General features: G+C 43.3%; 1 protein-coding gene across 8 annotated transcripts in view, besides 1 other annotated feature; it reads right to left on the bottom strand.

Moving 5' to 3' along the window:
* S100Z (S100 calcium binding protein Z) overlaps positions 1-22,469 on the bottom strand; it is a 102,940-nt gene that overhangs the window by 25,380 nt on the left and 55,091 nt on the right. For 5 of the 8 annotated variants that reach the window (NM_130772.4, NM_001437780.1, XM_017009171.2 and 2 more), the window contains one exon: positions 5,924-6,857. The exons of the other annotated variants lie outside the window; for them this stretch is intronic. The gene's annotated coding sequence lies outside the window, so the exon portion shown is untranslated. Of the gene's footprint in view, positions 1-5,923; positions 6,858-22,469 lie in introns of those variants that run through there. 8 annotated transcript variants of the gene reach the window in all.
* Positions 1,726-1,899: a silencer, noted in NCBI's record as "fragment chr5:76221500-76221673 (GRCh37/hg19 assembly coordinates)". NCBI's record gives its function as "represses an EF-1alpha promoter that drives an FKBP-Casp9 reporter gene in an ReSE screen in phorbol 12-myristate 13-acetate-treated (for megakaryocytic differentiation) K562 erythroleukemia cells {active_cell/tissue: K562(+PMA)}" and the evidence as "EXISTENCE:reporter gene assay evidence [ECO:0000049][PMID:32094911]".

Below are 22,469 nucleotides of genomic sequence, written 5' to 3'. Positions count from 1 at the left end.
GCCATTGAGGTGACTGATTTTTGCAACCCAGACCGGTTGTGGCTGAGTAGTGGTGGAAGCCTAATCAGTTACCAGGAAGGGATTTAAATGCCAAGAAAATGGGTCAGCTTGATATTTTGAGACTTGGAACATCTGAATGGAGGTGAGAAAGATGAAGGACCAGCTATGTGAGGATCTGGGGCAGAGGGAGAGCACAACTTGGCATCTTCCACTGACACCTGGAACCTCAAAAAGGGGCCAGTGGACTGGAGCTTGGGGGAACATGGTATGAGTTGAAGGTGGAGAGGTAGGGCCAGATGCTGAGGGCATCAAAGCATAGGTCAGTGTGAGGCAATTGGGCTTTAGAATCCCTCTCCCCCAGAGCACAGAAAGGACCTGAGGTATTCAAACCTGACTTGTTTTAGGGCCTCCCTGAACAACAATTATTTCCACGCTTCACTTTTTGTGGGTCAGTGTCTTTGCTTTGAGTTTTGATGTCTTATGTTACTACTATTAGCGTAAGAAGGAAGTAGCAGGAACATCTTACAATCATGCACAGGCGAAAGAATCACAGACTGAATTGGGAATTGCCCTAACCATTGAATGTTAAAGACATTGTCTTAAGAGATAAAGAGTTCATAACAAAACATCCAGATGAAAAAGAAGGAAATTGAAGACAGGAAGCTGGGGGAGACAATACCTAATCCTTGTGTTTATACAGACGTTTCTAAGGCAATAAATCATGAATCAGATGGTTTGCAACTCTTCAGGGGGAATCTTTTCCTTTCTATTTTGCAAAGCTGATTCTACTGCCGCAAGCTGGAAACTGTCAATTCCTGAGAAGAGAATTTTAATCTGGGCTTCACGAGCCTGTTCTTTCTCCAGATCCCCTCTTTGCTTTCTCATCTTTCTGTTGTTCTAAAACCTGCTTGGTTCTTTTCCTGTCTTGGGCATTTAGCCTTTCTCTCAGGTCTGGGCCTTAAGCTTTATGCTTCGTTTTCTCTGGAGCTCCCTCCCCTGTTCCACAGCTCCTAACCAGGCTCTATAGGACTTTCTTGCAAATTTCACAGCAGATCCTGAGGAGCAGCCAGTCCAGGGAGGGCTCTGTTTTAGCCCCACCCACTTCCACAGCCCTCCCAGCTCCCACACTGAACTGCCACTTTCATCTTTTTTTTCCTCAAAGCCCATTACCTGAATGTTGTGGAAAACTGAACTTGTTTTTGTATTTCCTTATTGGTGAAACAAACATAAAAGTACATCTTCCTGGAGTATTATCAGCTCCATTTGGCAGGTAGGACTACAGCATCACACTGCCCCAACCCTCACGGCTACTAATCACCAACTCTAAGTTCATCACTCACCAGATTGGACAATTCTATCGCCTTAATATCTGCAGTTAGGCCAGAGTATACTCCTGGGTGAATTCTAATCATCATTCCTCAGAAAAAAAAACAAGCTTCTCCACTATCCTGTATCTAAACCATCCTCTGCTCTGCCCAGTAATTTTACCTCCCAGCTGTCCTTTGTAGCCCAGATGCCACAATGACACACACTGAATGACTTGTTTACCAACCTTTGAAACTATGTGCCCTTATATTTTTATGTATCTTTGTTTTATTTTGTTTCTTAAGATGGAGTCTCACTCTGTCACCCAGGCTGGAATGCATTGACACAATCTTGGCTCACTGCCACCTGCACCTCCTGGGTTCAAGCAATTCTCCTGCCTCAGCCTCCTGAGTAGGTGGGACTACAGGTGCACGCCACCACACCCTGCTAAAATTTGTATTTTTAGTAGAGATGGGGTTTCACCATGTTAGCCAGGGTAGTCCTAAACTCCTCACCTCAAGTGATCCGCCCCCCTCAGCCTCTTAAAGTGTTGGGATCACAGGCATGAGCCACCACGCCTGGCTTTACATACGTTTATATTAAGTGATTTCTTACTGTCAGCCACTAAGTTCTTCCTATAGCAAGCAGCATAGATTATCTAAAGAAGTTACTCAAGCGAAAATCTGTAACTTTAAAAAAAAAAAGTGCTTGTGGGAATTGAGAGCGTTAGAACAAATCATGCAATTGCAACAGAAATGAGAGTCTATAGACTCAGGAGGACAGAGAGATAAGAGCCAGGCAGGTGAACCCTGTTTCTCCTGGAGTAGAGGACTGAGTGTGAGACCTACTCTGTTTCCAGGAGGAAGTTTCCCATCCTCTTCACAAGGCGAAGCCCCGGTTATGGTTACTGCAGTGGTAGTGAGCCTATGAAATGGTCCCCAAGCATCCCTGCCTCTTGGCGTTCACACCCCCGCATACTCCCCTCCCATAGAGTGCTAGGTTAGTGTGTACGACCAATAGAACGTGTTAGAAGTGATGGCATGTCACTTCTGAGATTAGGCTATTAAAAAAACACTGTGACTTCTCTCTCCCTTCCTCTCTCTCTCTCTATCTAGCCACTCATCTTTGGGGACCCTCATATCATAAGCAGTCCTAGGGATCGGACCTTGTGGCAAGAAACTGAAGCATTCTGCCAACAACATGAGTAAGCTTGGAAGTGGTTCCTCTGGCCAATAGCTCGACAACCCAACAGCAACCTTGTAAGAGTCCCATGAGCCAGAACTCACCAGCCAAGCCACTCCTGCTTTCTGACTCTGAAAATATGTGAGATCATAAATGTATCTTTTTTTTTTTTTTGAGACAGAGTCTCGCTCTGTTGCCCAGGCTGGAGTGCCGTGGCGCCATCTTGGCTCACCGCAATCTCCACCTCCCGCGTTCAAGCGATTCTCCTACCTCAGCCTCCAGAGTGGTAGCTGGGATTACAGGTGCCTGCCACCATGCCCGGCTAATTTTTGTATTTTTAGTAGAGATGGGGTTTCACCATGTTGGCCAAGCTGGTCTCAAACTCCTGGGCTCAAGTGATCCGCCTGCCCTTGCCTCCCAAAGTGCTGACATTACAGGCTTGAGCCACCACACCCGGCCCATAAATGTATCTTTGTTAAGCTATTAAGTTTTAGGGTAATTTGTTATACAGAAGCAGGGAACTAATACTACTGCCCTTATTCCTCTAATCCAGACCTAACTTCTCCGGGGTCCTGAGGACCAGGGGTTCTCAAATTTTAAAGGGCATGCTAATCACAGGGAGAATCTTGTTAGAACGTGTAGGAGCCAAGGGAAAGCTCTTCTTCACCCTCTGAAGCTTTGCTGAAAGTGAACAGAGAATGAATAGGAAGATTAATAGGAGAAAAAGGCATATACATTTATTTAACACACATAAGCACAAGGGAATCCCAGGAGGATGATTACCTAAAAACCCAGTGAGGTCTAGATGCTTATATACTTTTCTTCACAGGGGAGGAAAGAGCAGGGAAATGTGGCAATTTATATAGTAAATGATTTTTAGGGGTAATGAATGGGCCCAATGTTCAGTTCATGGCTAGCAAATAATTCTCTTTGGGAATCAAACAGGACCAGAGAACAGTGTCTGGGCTCCAAGTGTGGTGTTTAATTATCATCTCTTCCTCTGAGATATGAGTTTTAATCTTTTCTGCTTAGCGATATTTTAGGGGAGAGGATCAAAGGCAATTGTGTTTCTCTTTGGTGGACCCAGTTTCTAGATAGATCAGGGATCTTCGGAGAACAGCCTCATCCTATGCTTTGGGAGACACAGAGAATTGGGGGGTGGGGAAGGAGGGCAGAGAGGCCTTGTGGCTGCTTCTCTAGTTCAGCATGTCAAAGTGCCATATTTTGGAGTGTCATTTCTTTGAGCCCCAACAAATCCAATTTTTAATTTGGTAATTATAGGGTAAGAGTTTCTGCATTTCCAACAAGCTTTCAGGTGCAGGCTATGCTAATGCTGCCGGTCCACAGACATTAATTAGCAAGTCTATAAAAACGGTTTGCCCATGATGGAGCTATGGTGGTGTTGTGGATTGGGCTGAATGAGGAAACCTCTCCCATCTCAAAGCAAAATCTGATTCTACACCCATGAGGGTGTAGTTGGAGGTGGAAGAGGAACCATCGTGGGTGGGAGGGTATCTTGCATTTGTCTTGGTATTGCCCTCCCACCCCTCTAGCCTGCCCTCCCCCATTGGGGTGGCATAGCACTGGGCCCACTATACTCTAAAAGTGGGCAACTAGGCATTAGATAGCTCCTAATGCAATACTGACTGCACAGCACCACCTGTGAAATACTCTTAACAGGAGTCCAACTTGACTCTAATCCAGGCTCTAGAGCTACCTTCACTGATGGAGATATAGGTGATAGAGGAAACAATTAAATAACATGGGAATAAATGGGCAAATCCAGAATATGAAGCTTTCCACAGGGCTACCTGGTTTCTACAACATAGGCATGGGGGGAAATTACAAAAGACTGCTGAGGATTGATATAGATTTAGGAGCCTTAAGAACCAAATGTAATCTGTGGGCCTTGTTTTGTTCCTGATTCAAACAAACCCAATGTAAAAAGAGATGTTTTGAGATAGTCATGGAAATTTCATTTTGAACTGCATATTAGATGATGTCACGGAATTATTAAATTATTAGGTGTGATATGGTATTGTGTTTTTTTAGAAGCCCATTTTTTTTTTTTTTACATAGGCATTGTAGGGGCAAAGGGAAAACTTCCCCTTTGTCTTCTGAAGGCTTGCTAAAACTCAGCTGACAAAAGGCAGATTATTGGGAAAAAAGGCATACAAATTTTATTAAGATGCATATATGTGCATGGGATTCATACAAAATGTGAATTCTAAGAGGGGCTAGATGGTTGCTTAAATACTCTCTTTGGCTAGGCATGGTGGCTCATGCCAGTAATCCCAGCACTTTGGGAGGCCGAGGCGGGCAGATCACGAGGTCAGGAGATCAAGACCATCCTGGCTGACACGGTGAAACCCCATCTCTACTAAAAATACAAAAAATTAGCCGGGCGTGGTAGCGGGTGCCTGTAGTCCCAGCTACTCGGGAGGCTGAGGCAGGAGAATGGCATGAACCCAGGAGGCGGAGCTTGCAGTCAGCCGATCGTGCCACTGCACTTCAGCTTGGGCAACGGAGCAAGACTCTATCTCAAAAACAAACAAACAAACAAACAACAACAAAAAAACTCTCTTTATGGGAAGAGATGTATGAACCTGGGAGGTGGGAGGGAGACATTATGGGAAGGTGATGGGCAGAACTGCACAGGAACAAAGGTCATCTTATTTTGCAGATTAAGTTTCCCAGGTAATCTCTTGAAGCTTCCTTCAGAAGAATAGAAGAAAAGTCTGTCTGGGCATGGTGATGACTTCCAACATCTTCTCTTCTCTGGTGAGTGATCTTTCCTGGTTATTTGCTGAGACCCCCTAGGGAGGGGATCCTAAGAAAAATTGCATTTCTTTTGGAAAAAAGCTTTCTTGGTTAGACAAGGAAATTCCAGAGAGAGTCTCTCCCTATGCTTGGGAGGGGGTGGAGACAAGACAAGGTTAGGGGAACCTTGATTCTGAGGCAGCTTCTAAGGCCTCTCAGCATGTCAAAGCACAGTCTTTGGGGTATCACTTTTGAGCCCTAACAGCATATCTGAACATGTAGGGATAAAATGAAATGGTACCTAGGATTTGCTTTCTTTTTTCTTTTTTTTTTTTTTTGAGACAGTCTCTCACTCTGTTGCCCAGGCTGGAGTGCGGTGGCATGATCTCAGCTCACTGCAACCTCTGCCTCCTGAGTTCAAACAATTCTCCCGCCTCAGCCTCCCAAGTAGCTGGGAATACAGGCGTGCACCGCCATGCCCAGCTAATTTTTTGTATTTTTAGTAGAGTTGGGGTTTCACCATGATGGCCAAGCTGGTTTCTAACTCCTGACCTCAAGTGATCCGCCCACCTCGACCTCCCAAAGTGCTAGGATTACAGGCGTTAGCCACTGCACCCGGCCTAGGATTCGCTTTCAAAGGAAAGAGATAGATGAAGCAAATATGACAGAAACTTGATAATTGTTGACTCTGGGTATTTATTGTAATCATTTCCTTTTAAAATCTTCAAGTAAAAGGACATCGTGGTTTTTGAATATCCAGTGTCATAATGCCATGTCTTACTTTTATTATCAGAAAATTATGAATACTTTTAAATAATCGTTAACTCTCACAAAGAAAGGAAGGAAAGAAGAATAGAAAATCGTGCCTAGTTCTATCTCTGTTACCTTCTGGGACTTTATTTCTTCATTTGTAAAATTAAGAGTCTGAATACCCATCCAAAGAGAAGGAACAAGAATTTTATTCAAGATTCAGATGTATTGACTTAAAAGCTCCCTTAGTATTATTAATAGAAAAATTAGAAATAATCTATATGCAATAGGGAATTGGAGTAAATATATTGTGATATATCAATGAAAATACTATTCAGACAAAAATAATAATACAGTTGTATATTTATTAAGCTGGAACTATATAGATAACAAAAGATATTTTTTGGTGTAATCTCATTTTTATGAACCATAGATATATAGATACATGGACCTAGGGAAAATTCGAATGAAGAAGTTAACAGTGATTATATCTGGGTAATGAGATTACATTTGATTATTTCCCCCTACAATAAACTTATATTACTTTTTTAATGAGAAATGGTAAAAGATTTTTCTTTTTTGTGGAAGTTGTGGATTTCAAGATAAAATCAGAGAATCTACTTCATACAGCTGTAGAGGCACATCACATTGGCTGAGGTTGCTGTAGACACTTCCTCACTGCTCCTTACCTAATTTATGAGCATGGGAAGGGCTCAAGCAGCTTTCTCCAAAGCCCCCAAGCCAAAGGCACTACTAAACACATTCAGTGCTATTCCAGGCAGACCCCGTCCTGAGAGCGATGATTTTCAAGGATGCTGCTTTCCACTTTATTTAGCCCTTGATTAGCATTCACGAACTTCCTGAAATCAAAGACCCACACAGTCACTTGAAATCCAGCCAATGGCTGTGTAGTATGTTTCCTGCTGATGATGGTAACATTTAAATTGGACACATTTACTATAAGTTTATCTACCACTCTGCTGTGACTATTTCTGCTCTGCATTGAGGAGAGTGAGGAGCGCTCCATTACAGTCAGATGTACAGCTTCTTGTGGAAGGTGGGCAGGCATGTTCTTTCTAAGTCAGGTAAATTCCGACGAAGCATTGTGTATACCATTATGCTATGCATGAAAGCCCAAGTGGGGAGAAGTCTTAGCAGTGGATTCAGCTAATGCCAATTGCAAGAAAATGTGCACTTCACAAAAAAGAGCCATAAATGGCCAGTAAACATATAAAAAAGTTACTCCAACACATTTCATGAATTTTAAATGGCAAATCACACCTGGTAAAGGACTTATCCAAAATATGCAAAGAACTTTTAAACTCAACAATAAGAAAACAAACCACCCAATTTAAAAAATGAAGGCTGAGCCGGGCGTGGTGGCTCATGCCTGTAATCCCAGCATTTTGGGAGGCCAAGGGAGCAGATAAACTGAGGTCAGGAGTTCGAGACCAGTCTGGCCAACATGGTGAAACCCCATCTCTACTAAAAATACAAAAATTAGCCAGGCATGGTGGTGGGCACCTGTAATCCCAGCTACTTGGGAAGCTGAGGCAGGGGGAACTGCTTGAACTCGGGAGGCGGAGGTTGCAGTGAGCCAAGATTGGACCACTGCACTCCAGCCTGGGCTACAGAGTGAGGCTCTGTCTCAAAAAAAAAAAAAAAAAAATGAAAGCTGGGCATGGTGGTTCACACCTGTAATCCCAGCACTGTGGGAAGCTGAGGCAGAAGGATCACTTGAGCCCAGGAGTTTAAGACCAGCCTGGGAAGGATGATGAGATCTCATCTCTACAAAAAAAGAATTTTAGCCAGTATGGTGGCATGCACTTGTAGTCCCAGCTACTCGGGAGGCTGAGGTGGGAGGATTGCTTGAACCCAGGAATTTGAGGCAGCAGTGAAATATGATCACTACCCTACAGCCTGGGTGACAAAATGAGACCTGCATCTCTTTAAAAAAAAAAAAAGGAAGAGAAAAAGAAAGAGAGGGAGAGAGAAAGAGAGAGAGAGAGAAAGGAAGGAAGGAAGGGAGGGAGGGAGGGAGGGAGGGAGGAAGGGAGAAGAAGAGAAGACCTGAACAGATACCTCACCAAAGAAGATACAAAGATGGCAAGTATATAAAAAGATCCTCCACAAAATATGTCATTAGGAAATTGCAAATTAAAACAATAGTGAGATACAGCTGCATACTTATTAGAATGGCCAAAATCCAAAACACTGATAACACCAAATGCTGCCATGGATGTGGAGCAACAGGGGCTCTCATTCATTGCTGGTGGCAATGCAAAATGGCACTGCCACTTTGGAAGACAATTTGGTGGTTTCTCACAAAACTGAACATGCTCTTACTATCCAATCCAGTAGTTGTGTCCCTTGATATTTACCTAAATGAGTTAAAAACTTATATCCACATAAAACCTGCACATGACTGTTTATAGCAACTTTATTCATAATTGGCAAACCTTGGAAGCAAGCAATATGTTCTTCAGTGGGTAATTAGATAAATGAACTGTGGAATATCCAGACAATGGAATATTCATCAGCTTTCAAAAAAATAAGCTATCAAGCCATGAAAAGCCACGAAGAAAACTTAAATGTGTATTAAGTGAGAGAAGGCAATCTGAAAAGGCTAGGTACCATATAACTCCAATTATATGACATTATGAAAAAGACAAAACAATGGAAAGAGTAAAGGGATTGGTGATTGCCAGGGACAAGTGGGAGGGAATGTTGAATAGATAGAGTACAGAGGATTTTTAGGGCAGTGAAGGTATTGTGTATCATACTGTAACAGTGGATACGTGTCACTATGCATTTGTCAAAACCCATAGAATGTACAACACTAAGAATGAAACCTAGTGTAAACTACAGACACTGGGTAATAATGATGTGTCAACGTAGGTTCTATTGTAACAAATATACCACTGTGGTGGGAGATGTTGATAATGGGGAAGTCGGTGCACATCTGGAGGCAGGTATAACATGGGAGCACTCTGTGTATCCACTAAACTTTACATGAACCTAAAACTACTCTAAAGTCTATTTTTTCAAAAGCAAATTAAAACCCTTATTCTACTGGGCACAGTAGCTCACTCCTGTAATCCCAGCACTTTGGGAGGCCAAGACGGGAGGACTGCTTGAGCTCAGGAGTTTGAGACCAGCATGAACAACATGGCAAAACCCTGTCTCTACAAATAATGCAAATGTTAGCCAGGCATAGTGGCACGCACCTGTAGTCTCAGCTACTCAGAAGGCTGAGGTGGGAGGATCACTTGAGCCCGGGAGGCAGAAGTTGCAGCGAGCTGAGATTGTACCACTGCACTCAAGCCTGGGTGACAGAGCCAGATTCTGTCTCAAAAACAAAGTAAAAACCCTATTCTAACGACAAAAAATAAAGTTGGATAATATCTAATGTTAGTAAATGTGTGGAAAAACAACACGTGCATAGAGGTATGGAGGTACAAATTGGTATAAGGTTTTTAGATAGAAAATTGACGTTATCAATCAAAATTTTAAATACGTATACCTTTGACCACAAGTCCAATTGTAGGAATTAACCTACAGATAGATACCCTAAAGACTACACAGATATATATTTAAAGATTGTCATTGTAGAACTATTTGTAAGAGCAAAAAGCAAGAAACCAACTAGACGTCCACCTACAGGAAACTGGCACTTTGACATAAAAATATTGGGCATTGAGGTTCAATACCAATTTTGACCTTGGTATTCAATTTCTGATTTTTTTTTTTTTTTTTGAGACAGTCTTGCTCGGTCACCCAGGCTGGAGTACAGTGGTGTTATCTCGGTTTACTGCAACCTCCACTTTCTGGGTTCAAGTGATTCTTGTGCCTCAGCCTCCCTTGTAGCTGGGATTACAGGCATGTGCCACTACATCCAGCTAATTTTTGTGTTTTCAATAGAGATGGGGTTTCGCCATGTTGGCCAGGCTGGTCTCGAACCCCTGGCCTCAAGTGATCCAACCACTTCCCAAAAGTGCTGGGATTAGAGGTGTGAACCACTGTGCCAGGCCAATTTCTGATTTTTGACCCAAGCTTTCCCTCTGGAAAACCATATAGCTGAATGGCTACTTCAGTCTCTTTTCTGACATTCTTAAACTTGTGTGTGATCATGAAACTGTGTAAGTACCACCTCACACCTAGGCAGCCTAGCAATGTCAGTAATACCAACAAGGCCTGTCATTCAGAATTATTGTGACTATCTATGAATAGTATATGGAAGCATGCTACAAAAAAGTCAAACTGGAAATCTCACATTTTATGTTTTGAAGCTCTATTAAATGATTGAAATATGTATGTTAATACATAATTATAAACTTATTTTGAAACAATTATAGATTCACATGTAGTTATGAGAAATACAGACTTGAGACCTTCCTTTTTTCTTCTTTTCATACAACTTTTTGAAATATCCTTTTTTTTTTTTTTTTTTTTTGAGACAGTCTCACTCTGTCACCTAGGCTGGAGGGCAGTGGTGCAATCTCAGCTCACTGCAACCTCCGCCTCCTGGGTTCAAGCCATTCTCCTGCCTCAGCCTCCCAAGTAGCTGGGACTGCAGTCACCTGCCACCATATCCAGCTCCTTTTTGTATTTTTAGTAGAGATGGGGTTTAACTATGTTGGCCAGGCTGGTCTCGAACTCCTAACCTCACATGATCCACCTGCCTTGGCCTCACAAAGTATTGGGATTAAAGATGTGAGCCACTGCTCCCAGCCTTGAAATATCCTCTTTTCTAATGCAGGGATTTCATGCTATAACTTTGCCTCTCAAGACTTCTTTAGCAGTATCTTACAAATTTTGATATATCGTCTTTACATTTTTATTTAGTTGAATGTGTTTTTAATTTTCCTTAAGACCCTCTTTTTGACCCAAGTATTATTTACAAGTGTGTTTAGTTTGCAAGTGTTTAAAAATTTTCATGTTATCTTTCTGTTATTGGTTTCTAGTTTGTTTCCACTGTAGTCAGAAAACACACTCTTAGGATTTCAATGGGTATTAATTTTTCAAGGTTTTTTTTTTTTTTTTTGGCCTAGGACATGGTCTGTCTTGGTATATGTACTGTGGGCACATGAAAATAATGTGTGGCCTGTTGTTGAGTGTTTCACAAAAGTCAGTTCAATCCTGTTAATTGATGGTCATGTTATTTCTTCTATGTCCTTGCTGATTTTCTGTCTAGCTTTTCTATCAATTGTTGAGAGAAGGATGTTGCAGTCTTCAATTGTAATTGTGGATTTGTCTGTTTCTCTTTTCAATACTATCAGTTTTTGCTTTACATATTTTGTAGTTCTGTTATTTGGTACATATATAATTAGGATTGCTATGCCTTTGTGGTAGATTTATACTTTTATTATTAGTAATGTACTTCACCATCTCTGGTAATTTTTTTTTTTTTTTTTTTGAGATGGAGTCTCACTCTGTCTCCCAGGCTGGAGTGCAGTGGCACAATCTCGGCTCACTGCAACCTCCACCTCCTGGGTTCAAGCGATTCTCCTGCCTCAGCCTCCCAGGTAGCTGGGATTACAAGTGTGTACCTCCACGCCCAGCTAATTTTTGTATTTTTAGTAGAGACGAGGTTTCACCATGTTGGCCTGACTGGTCTTGATCCTAACCTCATGATCTGCCTGCCTTGGCCTCCGAAAGTGCTAGGGTTAGGTAATTTTGTTTGCTCTGAAGTCCACTTATCTAATGTTAACATAACATTTTAAATTAATGCTTGTGTAATTTTTTGTCCTTTTACTTTCAACATACGTTATTGTATTTGATGTGAGTTTCTTGTAGAGAACATATAATTAGGGCATGTTTTTAATCCATTATGCTAGTTACTGTATTTTAATTTTTATAGTTAAACCATTTACATTTAATGTAACTATTGATATGTTTGGGCTTAAGCCTACCACTTTATCTTTTTTATTTATTTATTTATTTTTATTTTTTATTTATTTATTTTCTTTGAGACGGAGTCTCGCTCTGTTGCCCAGGCTGGAGTGCAGTGGTGTGATCTCGGCTCATTGCAAGCTCCACCTCCCGGGTTCACGCCATTCTCCTGCCTTAGCCTCCGGAGTAGCCAGGACTACAGACGCTCACCCCCATGCCTGGCTAATTTTTTTTGTATTTTTTTTAGTGGAGAGGGGGTTTCACCATGTTGGCCAGGATGGTCTTGATCTCCTGACCTGGTGGTCTGCCCGCCTCGGCCTCCCAAAGTGCTGGGATTACAGGTGTGAGCCATCACGCCCAGCATTTTTTTTTTTTTTTTTGAGATGGAGTCTCACTCTGTCACCCAGGCTGGAGTACAGTGGCACAATCTCAGCTCACTGCAAGCTCCGCCTCCCAGGTTTACGCATTCTCCTGCCTCAGCCTCCCGAGTAGCTGGGACTACAGGTGACTGCCACCATGCTCGGCTAATGTTTTTGTATTTTCAGTAGAGACGGGGTTTCACTGTGTTAGCCAGGATGGTCTTGATCTCCTAACCTCGTGATCCACCTGCCTCGACCTCCCAAAGTGCTGGGATTGCAGGCGTGAGCCACCGTGCCCGGCCTTATGTGTCCGGAATTGATTCCTTCCAGTGGATTCTTGGTCTTGCTGACTTCAAGAACAAAGCCACAGACCCTTGCGGTGAGTGTTACAGTTCTTAAAGATGGTCCGGAGTTTGTTCCTTCAGATGTTCAGATGTATCCGGAGTTTCTTCCTTCTGGTGGGTTCGTGGTCTCGCTGACTTCAGGAGTGAAGCTTCAGACCTTCACTGTGAGGGTTACAGCTCTTAAAGGTGGTGCGTCAGGAGTTGTTTGTTCCTTCCAGTGGGTTTGTGGTCTCGCTGGCTTCAGGAGTGAAGCTGCAGACCTTCGCGGTGAGTGTTACAGCTCTTAAAGGTGGCACGTCTGGAGTTGCTTTTTCCTCCTGGTGGGTCCATGGTCTCAGTGGCTTCAGGAGTGAAGCTGCAGACCTTCACGGTAAGTGTGACAACTCATGAAGTTAGTGCGGACCCAAAGAGTGAGCAGCAGCAAGATTTATTGCGAAGAGTGAAAGAACAAAGCTTCCACAGCATGGAAGGGGACCTGAGCGGGTTGCCACTGCTGACTTGGGTGGCCAGCTTTTATTCCCTTATTTGGCCCCACCCACATCCTGCTGATTGGTCCATTTTACAGAGAGCTGATTGGTCCATTTTACAGAGTGCTGATTGGTGTGTTTACAAACCTTTTAGCTAGACACAGAGCTCTGATTGGTGCATTTACAATCCTTTAGCTAGACAGAAAATTCTCCAAGTCCCCACCCAGCCCAGAAGCCCAGCCGGCTTCACCTCTCAATCCCCCCTCTAAACAGGATGCCCCAACTGCTGTTGGGAATTTGGCCGATGACCGCTTTAGCTACTTCCTGCTGGATAAGGGCAAAGAAGGAGCCCTGCAGTTGTAATGTCCTCCAGAGGGGAACTCTTTAGGCCAGTGGAAGGGCCAGCAGGTCAGTCCAGGGGTCCTCGGTAGAAGTTGTTGGTTGAACTCATTTGGTGTTCCACTTGTAAGACCATCTGTGGCTTGATGGCCTTGATTCCAGAGGAAACAAATTTGACAAAAAGGTTAAAAATATAGGGCCCAAAGGTGAGTAACAGCAAGATGGCTGCCATGGGACCTAGAAAGGGGAGAAGCCATGTTGCCCAACTCCAGAAGTTGGTATAAGAGCTTGAAAGGTGTTGTCTGATTTCAGAAGCCTTTTCCTGTAAATGCCGGGCAGCATCTCGTACTATCCCTAACTGGTTAGTATAAAAACAGCACTCTTCCCCTAAGACGGTGCAGAGATCTCCTTTCTCAGCAGTGAGGAGGTCTACGCCTCTGCGGTTTTGGAGAGTCACTGCCGCCGAAGAGTCTATTTGGGATTGTAGAGTAAGGATAGATTTTGTTATCTCTTGCAAACTGTCTGAGAAATCCTTTGAGAGTGTGTGGTAGTAGGATAATACATGTTACACTGTTAACTTTTAGCAAACTTTAGTTGAAAATCTTGTAAGTTTGGGATTTTTTCTTTGCTGTTAATAAAACCTTGTTCAGTCCATATTAACTTAGAATTGGTATAGATAATTCCTTCCTGATTCTATAAGATGGCTCCTTCCTGATTCTGTTTGTCTGAGTGCAAACAGCTCGCAGGTTTGAGCAGACATATCATTAGGCAATTTTCCTAACTCTGATTTTACAAGAGTTTCTTTATCACTTACTGAATATCCATTGTGTCTTTTTCCCTTAATCGCCTGGGAGGAAACATCTATCTTCCTGTCCTGAAGGGAGTTCCTCCTTGGTCTGATCGGACCTTTGTATGGTAATTAGTTAAGATTTAGATCCCCTGTTAGGAAACCTGCTGGGTTAAGGATTTTTGATAGGAAGGCTATGGGTTGTCAGTGGCCTCAGTGCTTTCAGGCTACGCCCTTGTTTACACTGACAACAAGGTGGTATTGGAGTGTTATAGGGTTACAGAGAAGACCTTCAATTATCAATTATAGGTTCTAAAGTTACCTTGGCTTTTAAAGGAATAGGGTATACGTTTTTTCTTTACTACTTCCATCTCTCTTTCTTCTCTTTGACTTCTTCTTTGTCTCCTTCTGACTCCCTTTTTGTCTGTCTCTTCCTCTCTCTGACTCTCTCTGTCTCTCTGACTCCCTATTTGTCTCTGTCTCTTCTCCTCTCTCTCTCTCTCTCTGACTCCTTCTTTGTGTCTGTCTCTTCCTCTCTCTCTCTCTTTCTGTCTCTTTCTCTCTTTTCTTTCTGCTGGTCTTTCCTTGCCTCTGCCAGCCACTTATGCTGCTGTTCTCCCTTCTCCTTCCCCTTTTTGATGGCTTTGGCAGTGTAAGACTGCCACCTCCTTGAGTATTTGCACTGAGTGCAATCACTCCATGATTTCCTTGTCGTATTTTATGGGGGTTCCCCCCAGAGGTAACTCTCTTTCTTCCCATATTACAGCATGGGCATGTAGGATTAGATAAGCACATTTGCTATCCGTATACACATTTATTTTTTTTTCCTCTTTCCCAGTTCTAAGGCTCAGGTAAGCACCACTAGTTCTGCTAACTGGGCCCTTGTCCCTGGGGGAAGAGGCTTACTTTCAAGTACGGTTACATCATTAACTATGACATAACCTGCCCTTCATATCCCACTCTCCACAAATGAACTTCCATTGGTATATAGGTTAAGGTCAGGATTAGCTAAGGGGACTTCTAAGAGATCATCTCGGGTGGCATAAGTCTGGACTATAATTTGTTGGTGATCATCCTCGATTGGGTCCCCATCCTCTGGGAGAAAAGTGGCAGGGTTGAGGCCATGCACATATGTATTTGAAGCACCGGTCCCTCAAGGAGTAGCACCTGGTATCTAAGTAGGCGGATGTCTGATACCCATAAACTTCCTTTGGCACCTAGTATGCCATTTACATCATGAGTAGTCCAAACAGTGAGATCCTTTCCTTGTATTATTTTGATAGCCTCTGACACTAAGCCAACGCCGCAACTACCCTTAAACAGTGAGGCCAGCCTTTTGCTACTACATCAATTTCCTTACTTAGGTATGCCACTGGTTGTGGGGTTGTCCCACGAGTCTGAGTAAGGACTCCAAGAGCTAGCCCTGCACTCTCTGTGATGTATAAAGAGAAGTATACAGGGGCCTGGCTATCCCTCTGTATCCAGGGATCCATAGTCAGCAAAAGCCGGTGATTCCAAGGAACCCCCGCAACTGTTTTAATGTCTTAGGGTGAGGATAAGCCAGTATAGGCTGTATTTGTTCCTTGCTGAGGGCCCTGGTACCTCTGGCTAAGATCAGGCCTAGATATTTGACCTGCTATAGGCAAAGCTGGGCCTTCGATCTAGGCACCTTGTACCCTTGATTAGCTAGAAAGTTCAAGAGATCTAGAGTAGTCTGCTGGCATGAGGCTTCAGAACTGGTAGCCAAAAGTAAATTATCCACATACTGAAGGACCAGAGTGCCTGGACTTGAGAAATGGCCTAGATCTTGGACCAGTGCCTGACCAAACAGGTGAGGGCTATCCCTAAACCCTTGGGGCAAGACGGTCCACATAAGTTGAGATGTGTGGTCTGTGGGATCCTCAAAGGCAAAGAGAAACTGGGAGTCAGAGTGCAGGGGAATACAGAAGAAGGCATCCTTGAGGTCCAGAACAGTGAACCATTCTGCTTCCTCTGGTGTTTGGGAGAGCAGGCTATAGGGGTTGGGTACAACTGGATATAGAGGAATTACTGCCTTTTTGATGAGTCTAAGATCTTCCACTAGTCTCCACTGACCGTTCGGTTTTTGTACTCCTAGAATTGGGGTGTTGCAGGGACTGTTGCATTTCCTTACTAAGCCTTGAGCTTTTAAATGTTTAACAATATCCTGTAATCCTTTATGAGCTTCAGGCCTTAAGGGATATTGCCTTTGATAAGGAAAAGTGGTGGGATCTTTTAGCCTGATTTGGACTGGGTGGCCATTTTTTGACCTTCCAAATTGTCCTTCCAATGCCCAGACTTCAGGGTTGATTCCCTCCTCAAGTAGAGGACAACAAATGGGTAACTTGTTCCTCATATTCATGTAGACAATAGTTCCAGCCTTGGCTAATATATCCCTCCCTAATAAGGGTGTGGGACTTTCAGGCATAACAAGAAAGGCATGTGAAAAGAGCAAAGTCTCCCAATTACAACTGAGGAGGTGGGAGAAACAACTGGTTACAGGCTGTCCCAGGATTCCTCGGATGGTAACGGACCTTGAGGACAGTCATCCAAGACAGGAGATTAACACTGAGAAGGCCGCGCCAGTGTCCAGGAGGAAGTCAATTTCCTGGCCCTCAATGATTAAATGTCCCCAGGGCTCAGTGAGGGTGATGACATGAGCTGGCGCTTGCCCCAGGCACCCTCAGTCCTGTTGCTGGATCATCTGGTTGGCAGCTTCTGACCCAGAGAACCTTTGTCCTCTGGGGCAGTGCACCTTCCAGTGATTGCCTCAGCATAGTGGACATGAACGAGGGGGCAGCTTGTTTCTCGTTGGACAATCTTTTTTAAAATGTCCTTGTAAACCACACTGATAACAAGCCATCCCGGGTGATTGGCCTGCTCTGTTTTCTGTCCTCTCTGAACCATGAAGGTTTGTTTGTGTGAGGGCCATGACTAAGGCTGCGGCCTTTCTCTGATCTCACTTTTCCTTTTGGGCCTCTTCCTCTTGGTCCCTATTATAGAACACCAAGGTTGCCAGGTTTAATAATGCCTCCAGATTTTGTTCAGGGCCCAGGGCTTGCTTTTGGAGCTTTCTCCTGATATCTGCTGCAGATTGGGCAATAAACTTATCTTTTAGAATCAGTTGACCCTCTAGTGAGTTGGGTGACAGGGGAGTATATTTTCTTAAGGCCTCCCATAGCTGCTCAAGGATAGCAGAAGGATTTTCTTCCTTTCCCTGAGTTATGGTGGACATCATTGAATAATTCATGGGCTTTTCCTAATTCTCCTTAGTCCTTCTAGAACACAGGTCAACAGATGTTTATGACTCCAGTCCCCATGATCTGAGTTGAGATCCCAGTGGGGATCCATACTGGGGATGGCTTGCTGACTGGTAGGGAATTTGTCCCTTTCTTTGGCTGTCATTCTATCATTTACTTGACTAAGATACCAGGTATCTCCAAACTTTTGGGCTGCAGCTAAAGCTGCATTCTTTTCATTAAAGGCCAGGGTTTGATCTAACAATAGCATGACATCTCTCCAAGTGAGATCAAAGGTTTGCTCTAGACCCTGTAGGACATCTATGTACCTATCAGGATCATCTGAAAACTTCCCCAGGTCTGCCTTGATCTGCTTTAAATTAGAGAGGGAGAAGGGGACATGTACCCAGGTTGGGCCAAATTCCCCTCCCCCTACAGCTTGAAGGGGACATAACTGATAGCCCAGGGGTTTTTGTGATCATTTGGAGATTTCTTTGCTTATTTCCTTCTGGGCGGGGGAGATTAGAGGAGGCTTATCATTAATAGGAAGGGGAGCTATAGGGAGGCTAGGATAAGGGGGTAAGCTGAGAGGTCCTCCTGTAGGATGTAAATTGCAAGCTTTGCATAGTTGTATGTTCTCCTCCAGTGAAAAGAAAGCTTGGACATAAGGTATTTCACTCCATTTGCCTTCCCTCTTACAGAAAAGGTCAAGCTGCAGGATAGTATTGTAATTTGTACTTCCTTCAGGTGGCCATTTTTCCCCATCAGAGAGAGAATATTGGGGCCAGGCCGTAGTGTGGAAACAAATGAGCTGCCTCTTTTTCAGGGTTTATGGATCAAATTGGTCCCATTGGCTTAGGATGCATTTCAAAAGTGAGCCTGTTGATGCCTGAGTGTTTCCCATCTGAAACACAAAACTGCCCACAGTTTTGGTTTGTTTGTTTCTCCCCCTGCCCAAGAACCCGTAACGGTCCCTGGAGCCTGCTGATTGGAATAGCTGTGCTCACCGATGCAGTAGCCGAAAACACCTCTTGTCCAAGAACCCACAATGGTCCCTGGACCCTGCTGATCGGAATAGTTGCGCTTACCAACACAGCAGCAGAAACACTAGTTTTCCTCCTAGACCACAAGGAGGACCAAAGAAGGTTGGATTTAGTGGCCCTTACTGATGCATTCTCAAAAATCTGCACACTTGCCTGTCCTCCTAGACCACAAGAAGGACTGAGAAAAATCGGATTTAGTGGCCCTTAATGATGCATTCTCGAAAACCTGTTAGAGTCCTAAGCATTCTCCTGTTAGTATTGAGACTTTACGCCTGTCCTATAAAGATATTATGCCTCCAAAATGAAGTGAAGGGCCATACCCTGAGGGAGGAAAGGGATCTCCAGAGTTAGAAGAGTGATGCCTTTTGTCCTCATTTATATGAATAGGAAGGATACAATTTCTGAGGCTCCCCATATCCTAGCTTTAGGAATAGCTTTGCTTTTGTTAGGCCTGCTTGTCTGAGGAGGGATCTGAAAATTCCAGATAGTCCCACCTATGATGGGGCTTTGGGCAAAAAATATGTCTTTCTCATTGGTGAGCCCAGGTGCCAAAAGGAGGTAACAGAGTCCTGAAGTTTATACGAGAAATCATTCTCATAGGAGAAACTAGAAAAGCACCAGAGACAGGGAGTGGTTTTTAGAAGCGTGACTAGCCTCAGAGAAGAGAAGTGAGAGGAAGTTTGTCTGGCAGGCATTAGGACCCAGGAGGCAAGGGTCAGGGTAGATAGGATAGATAGGCAAGTCTTGCTTGGGCGACATGACTTTGAGAGTTCCGCTCATGGCTGCCGGGTCAACCAACTTGTTGTCAGGACCCCGAAGCTGAATGGCTTCCTCTCCGTTGACCCTTGGCTCAGCCCAGAAGTACAGGAAAAGCAGAAACTGGTTCCAGGTAAACCAATGTTCCCAACTCCAAAGAGTTGCAGGTTGTTAGAGAGACCTTTGATTATTAATTTTTTTGAGACAGGGTCTCACTCTGTTGCCCAGGCTGGAGTGCAGTGGCAAAATCATGGCTTACCGAATCCTCAACTTCCCCAGGGTCAGGTAGTCTTCCCACCTCAGCCTCCCGAGTAGCTGGGACTACAGGCAGGTGCCACCACATCTGACTGATATTTTTGTATTTTTTGTAGAGAAGTGCTTTCACCATGCTGCCCAGGCTGGTCTCAAACTCCTGGGCTCAAGTGATATGCCTGCCTTGGCCTCCCAAACTGCTAGGATTATAGGTGTGAGCCACTGCACCTGGCCTTATTTATTACAATAAGATCTCAAATTAATTTTTTTACATTAGAATTTTTTTCTGCAATGATGATACTTAATTTCAGTCTCAGCTTTGGCCAAATATTGAATTTAATGTTTGGCTACTTGGCAACCACTATAAGCAGCAATCAAAAATAATAATAAAGTAAACTAGAATAGCAAATATAATTTTGAAAAAGAAGAACAAAATTTTAAGACTCAGACTATCTTATTTCAAGAATTACTATAAAGCAGCTGGGCGCAGTGGCTCATGCCTGTAATCCCAGCACTTTGGGAGGCTGAGACAGGCAGATCAAGAGGTCAGGAGATCGAGGCCATCCTGGCTAACATGGTGAAACCACATCTCTACTAAAAATACAAAAAATTAGCCGGGCATGGTGGCGGGCCCCTGTAGTCCCAGCTACTTGGGAGGCTGAGGCAGGAGAATGGCGTGAACCAGGGAGGCAGAGCTTGCAGTGAGCCAAGATCATGCCACTGCACTCCAGCCTGGGTGACAGAGTTAGACTCTGTCTCAAAAAAACAAAAGAATTACTACAAAGCAATAGTCATCAAGACTATATGGTATCAGGAAAGGATAGACATATAGATCAATGGAACAGAATAAGTGTTCACAAAATAGACGCACACATATATGCTCAATGGATATTCAGAAAAGGTGCAAAGATAATTCAACAGAAAAAAAGGATAGTCTTGATAATATTGAAACAATTAGGCAATCATCAAAAAAGAACCTTCAATAGCCAAAATATGGAATGAATACCATATTCATTGATAAATGAATGGATAAAGAAAATTTGGTATATATATATGTATATATATATATATATATATATATATATATATATATATATATATATACACACACACAATGGAATACTATTCAGCCTTTAAAAAGAAGGAAATTTGGCGGGGGCAATGGCTTTCGCTTGTAATCCCACCACTTTGGGAGGCCAAGGTGGGAGGATCATGAGATCAGGAGTTTGAGACCAGCCTGGCCAACACAGTGATACCCTGTCTCTACTAAAAACACAAAAATTAGCTGAGCGTGGTGGCAGGCACCTGTAATCCCAGCTACTCAGGAGGCTGAGGCAGGAGAATCACTTGAACCTGGGAGGAGGAGGTTGCACTGAGCTGAGATCGCACTACTGCACTCCAGCCTGGGTGACAGAGCTTGACTCTGTCTCAAAAAAAAACAAAAAACAAAACAACAACAACAAAAAACACGGAAATTGTGTCATTTGCAGCAACATGATAAACCTGGAGGACATTATGTTAAGTGAAATAAGCCAGGCACAGAAAGACAAGTACTGCATTACTGTACTTATATGTGAAATATAAAAAAGTTGAACTAGAAGCAGAAAGTACAATGATAGTAGCAGGTGCTGGCAGGTGAGGAGGCCAGAGAAATGGAGTGATGTTGGTCAAAGGCTACAAAGTTTCAATGAGACAGGATAAAAACTTTTGGAGATCTATTGTATAGCATGGTGACTATAGTTAATAATAATGTATTACATACTTGAAAATTGCCAAGAGATTAGATTTTAAGTGTTCTCATCACCAAAAAAATATGTGAAGTGATTAAATGTTAGCTTAATTATTCACAATGGATACATACACCAAAACATCACGTTGTCTACCATATATATGTACAATTTTGTCAATTATACCTTAATAAAGAATAAAATAAAACATAAAAGATGTTTTTGGCTGGGTGTGGTGGCTGATGCCTATAATCCCATTACTTTGGGAGGCCAAGGCAGGGGAATTGCTTGAGCCCAGGACTTCAAGACCAGCCTGGGCAACATGGTGACATCCTGTCTCTATTAAAAAGACAAAAAATTAGCTGGGTGTGGTGTCACACACCTGTAGTCCCAGCTACTCAGGAGGCTGAGGTGGGAGGATCACTTGAGCCCAGAAAGTCGCAGCTGCAGTGACCACGATCATACCACTGTACTGCAGCCTGGGCAATGGAGTGATATCCTGTCTCAAACAAACAAACAAAAAGTTATTATTTGTAAAGTACTGTGATGGCTCAGCTACTAAACATAAAACCTCGATTTAAAGTTGAAAAAGAACAAACCTCAATCCATACCTTGCACTAGCTACAAAAATTAACTCAAAATGGCCAGGCACGGTGGTTCGCACCTGTAATCCCAGCACCTTGGGAAGCCGAGGTAGGCAGATCACGAGGTCAGGAGATCGAGACCATCCTGGATAACGTGGTGAAACCCCATCTCTACTAAAAATACAAAAAATTAGACGGGCGTGGTGGTAGGCGCCTGTAGTCCCAGCTACTCAGGAGGCTGAGGCAGAAGAATGGTGCAAACCCAGGAGGTGGAGCTTGCGATGAACCGAAATCATGCCACTGCACTCCAGCCTAGGCAACAGAGTGAGACTCCATCTCAAAAAACAATAAAAATAAATAAATAAAAATAAACTCAAAATGAATCATAGATTTAAATGTGGAGCCTAAAATTGTAAAAAAATTTTCAAGAAATAAGCCGGGCACAGTGGTATGTGCCTGTAGTCTCAGCTACTCAGGAGGCTGAGATGGTAAGATTGCTTGAACCCAGGAGTTTGAAGCCAGCCTGGGTAACATAGTAAGACCCTGTCTCTAAATAATAATAATAGAACAAAATCTTTGTGATCTTGAATTAAGCTTGTCAACCTTGGTACTATTGACATCTTAGATTGATAATTTTTTGTTGAAGAGTTCATACTGTGCATTGT

This window comes from Homo sapiens, chromosome 5, assembly GCF_000001405.40.
Source record: "Homo sapiens chromosome 5, GRCh38.p14 Primary Assembly".
Classification (NCBI taxonomy): Eukaryota; Metazoa; Chordata; class Mammalia; order Primates; family Hominidae; genus Homo; species Homo sapiens.
This window is presented reverse-complemented; position numbering and strand designations above follow the sequence as displayed.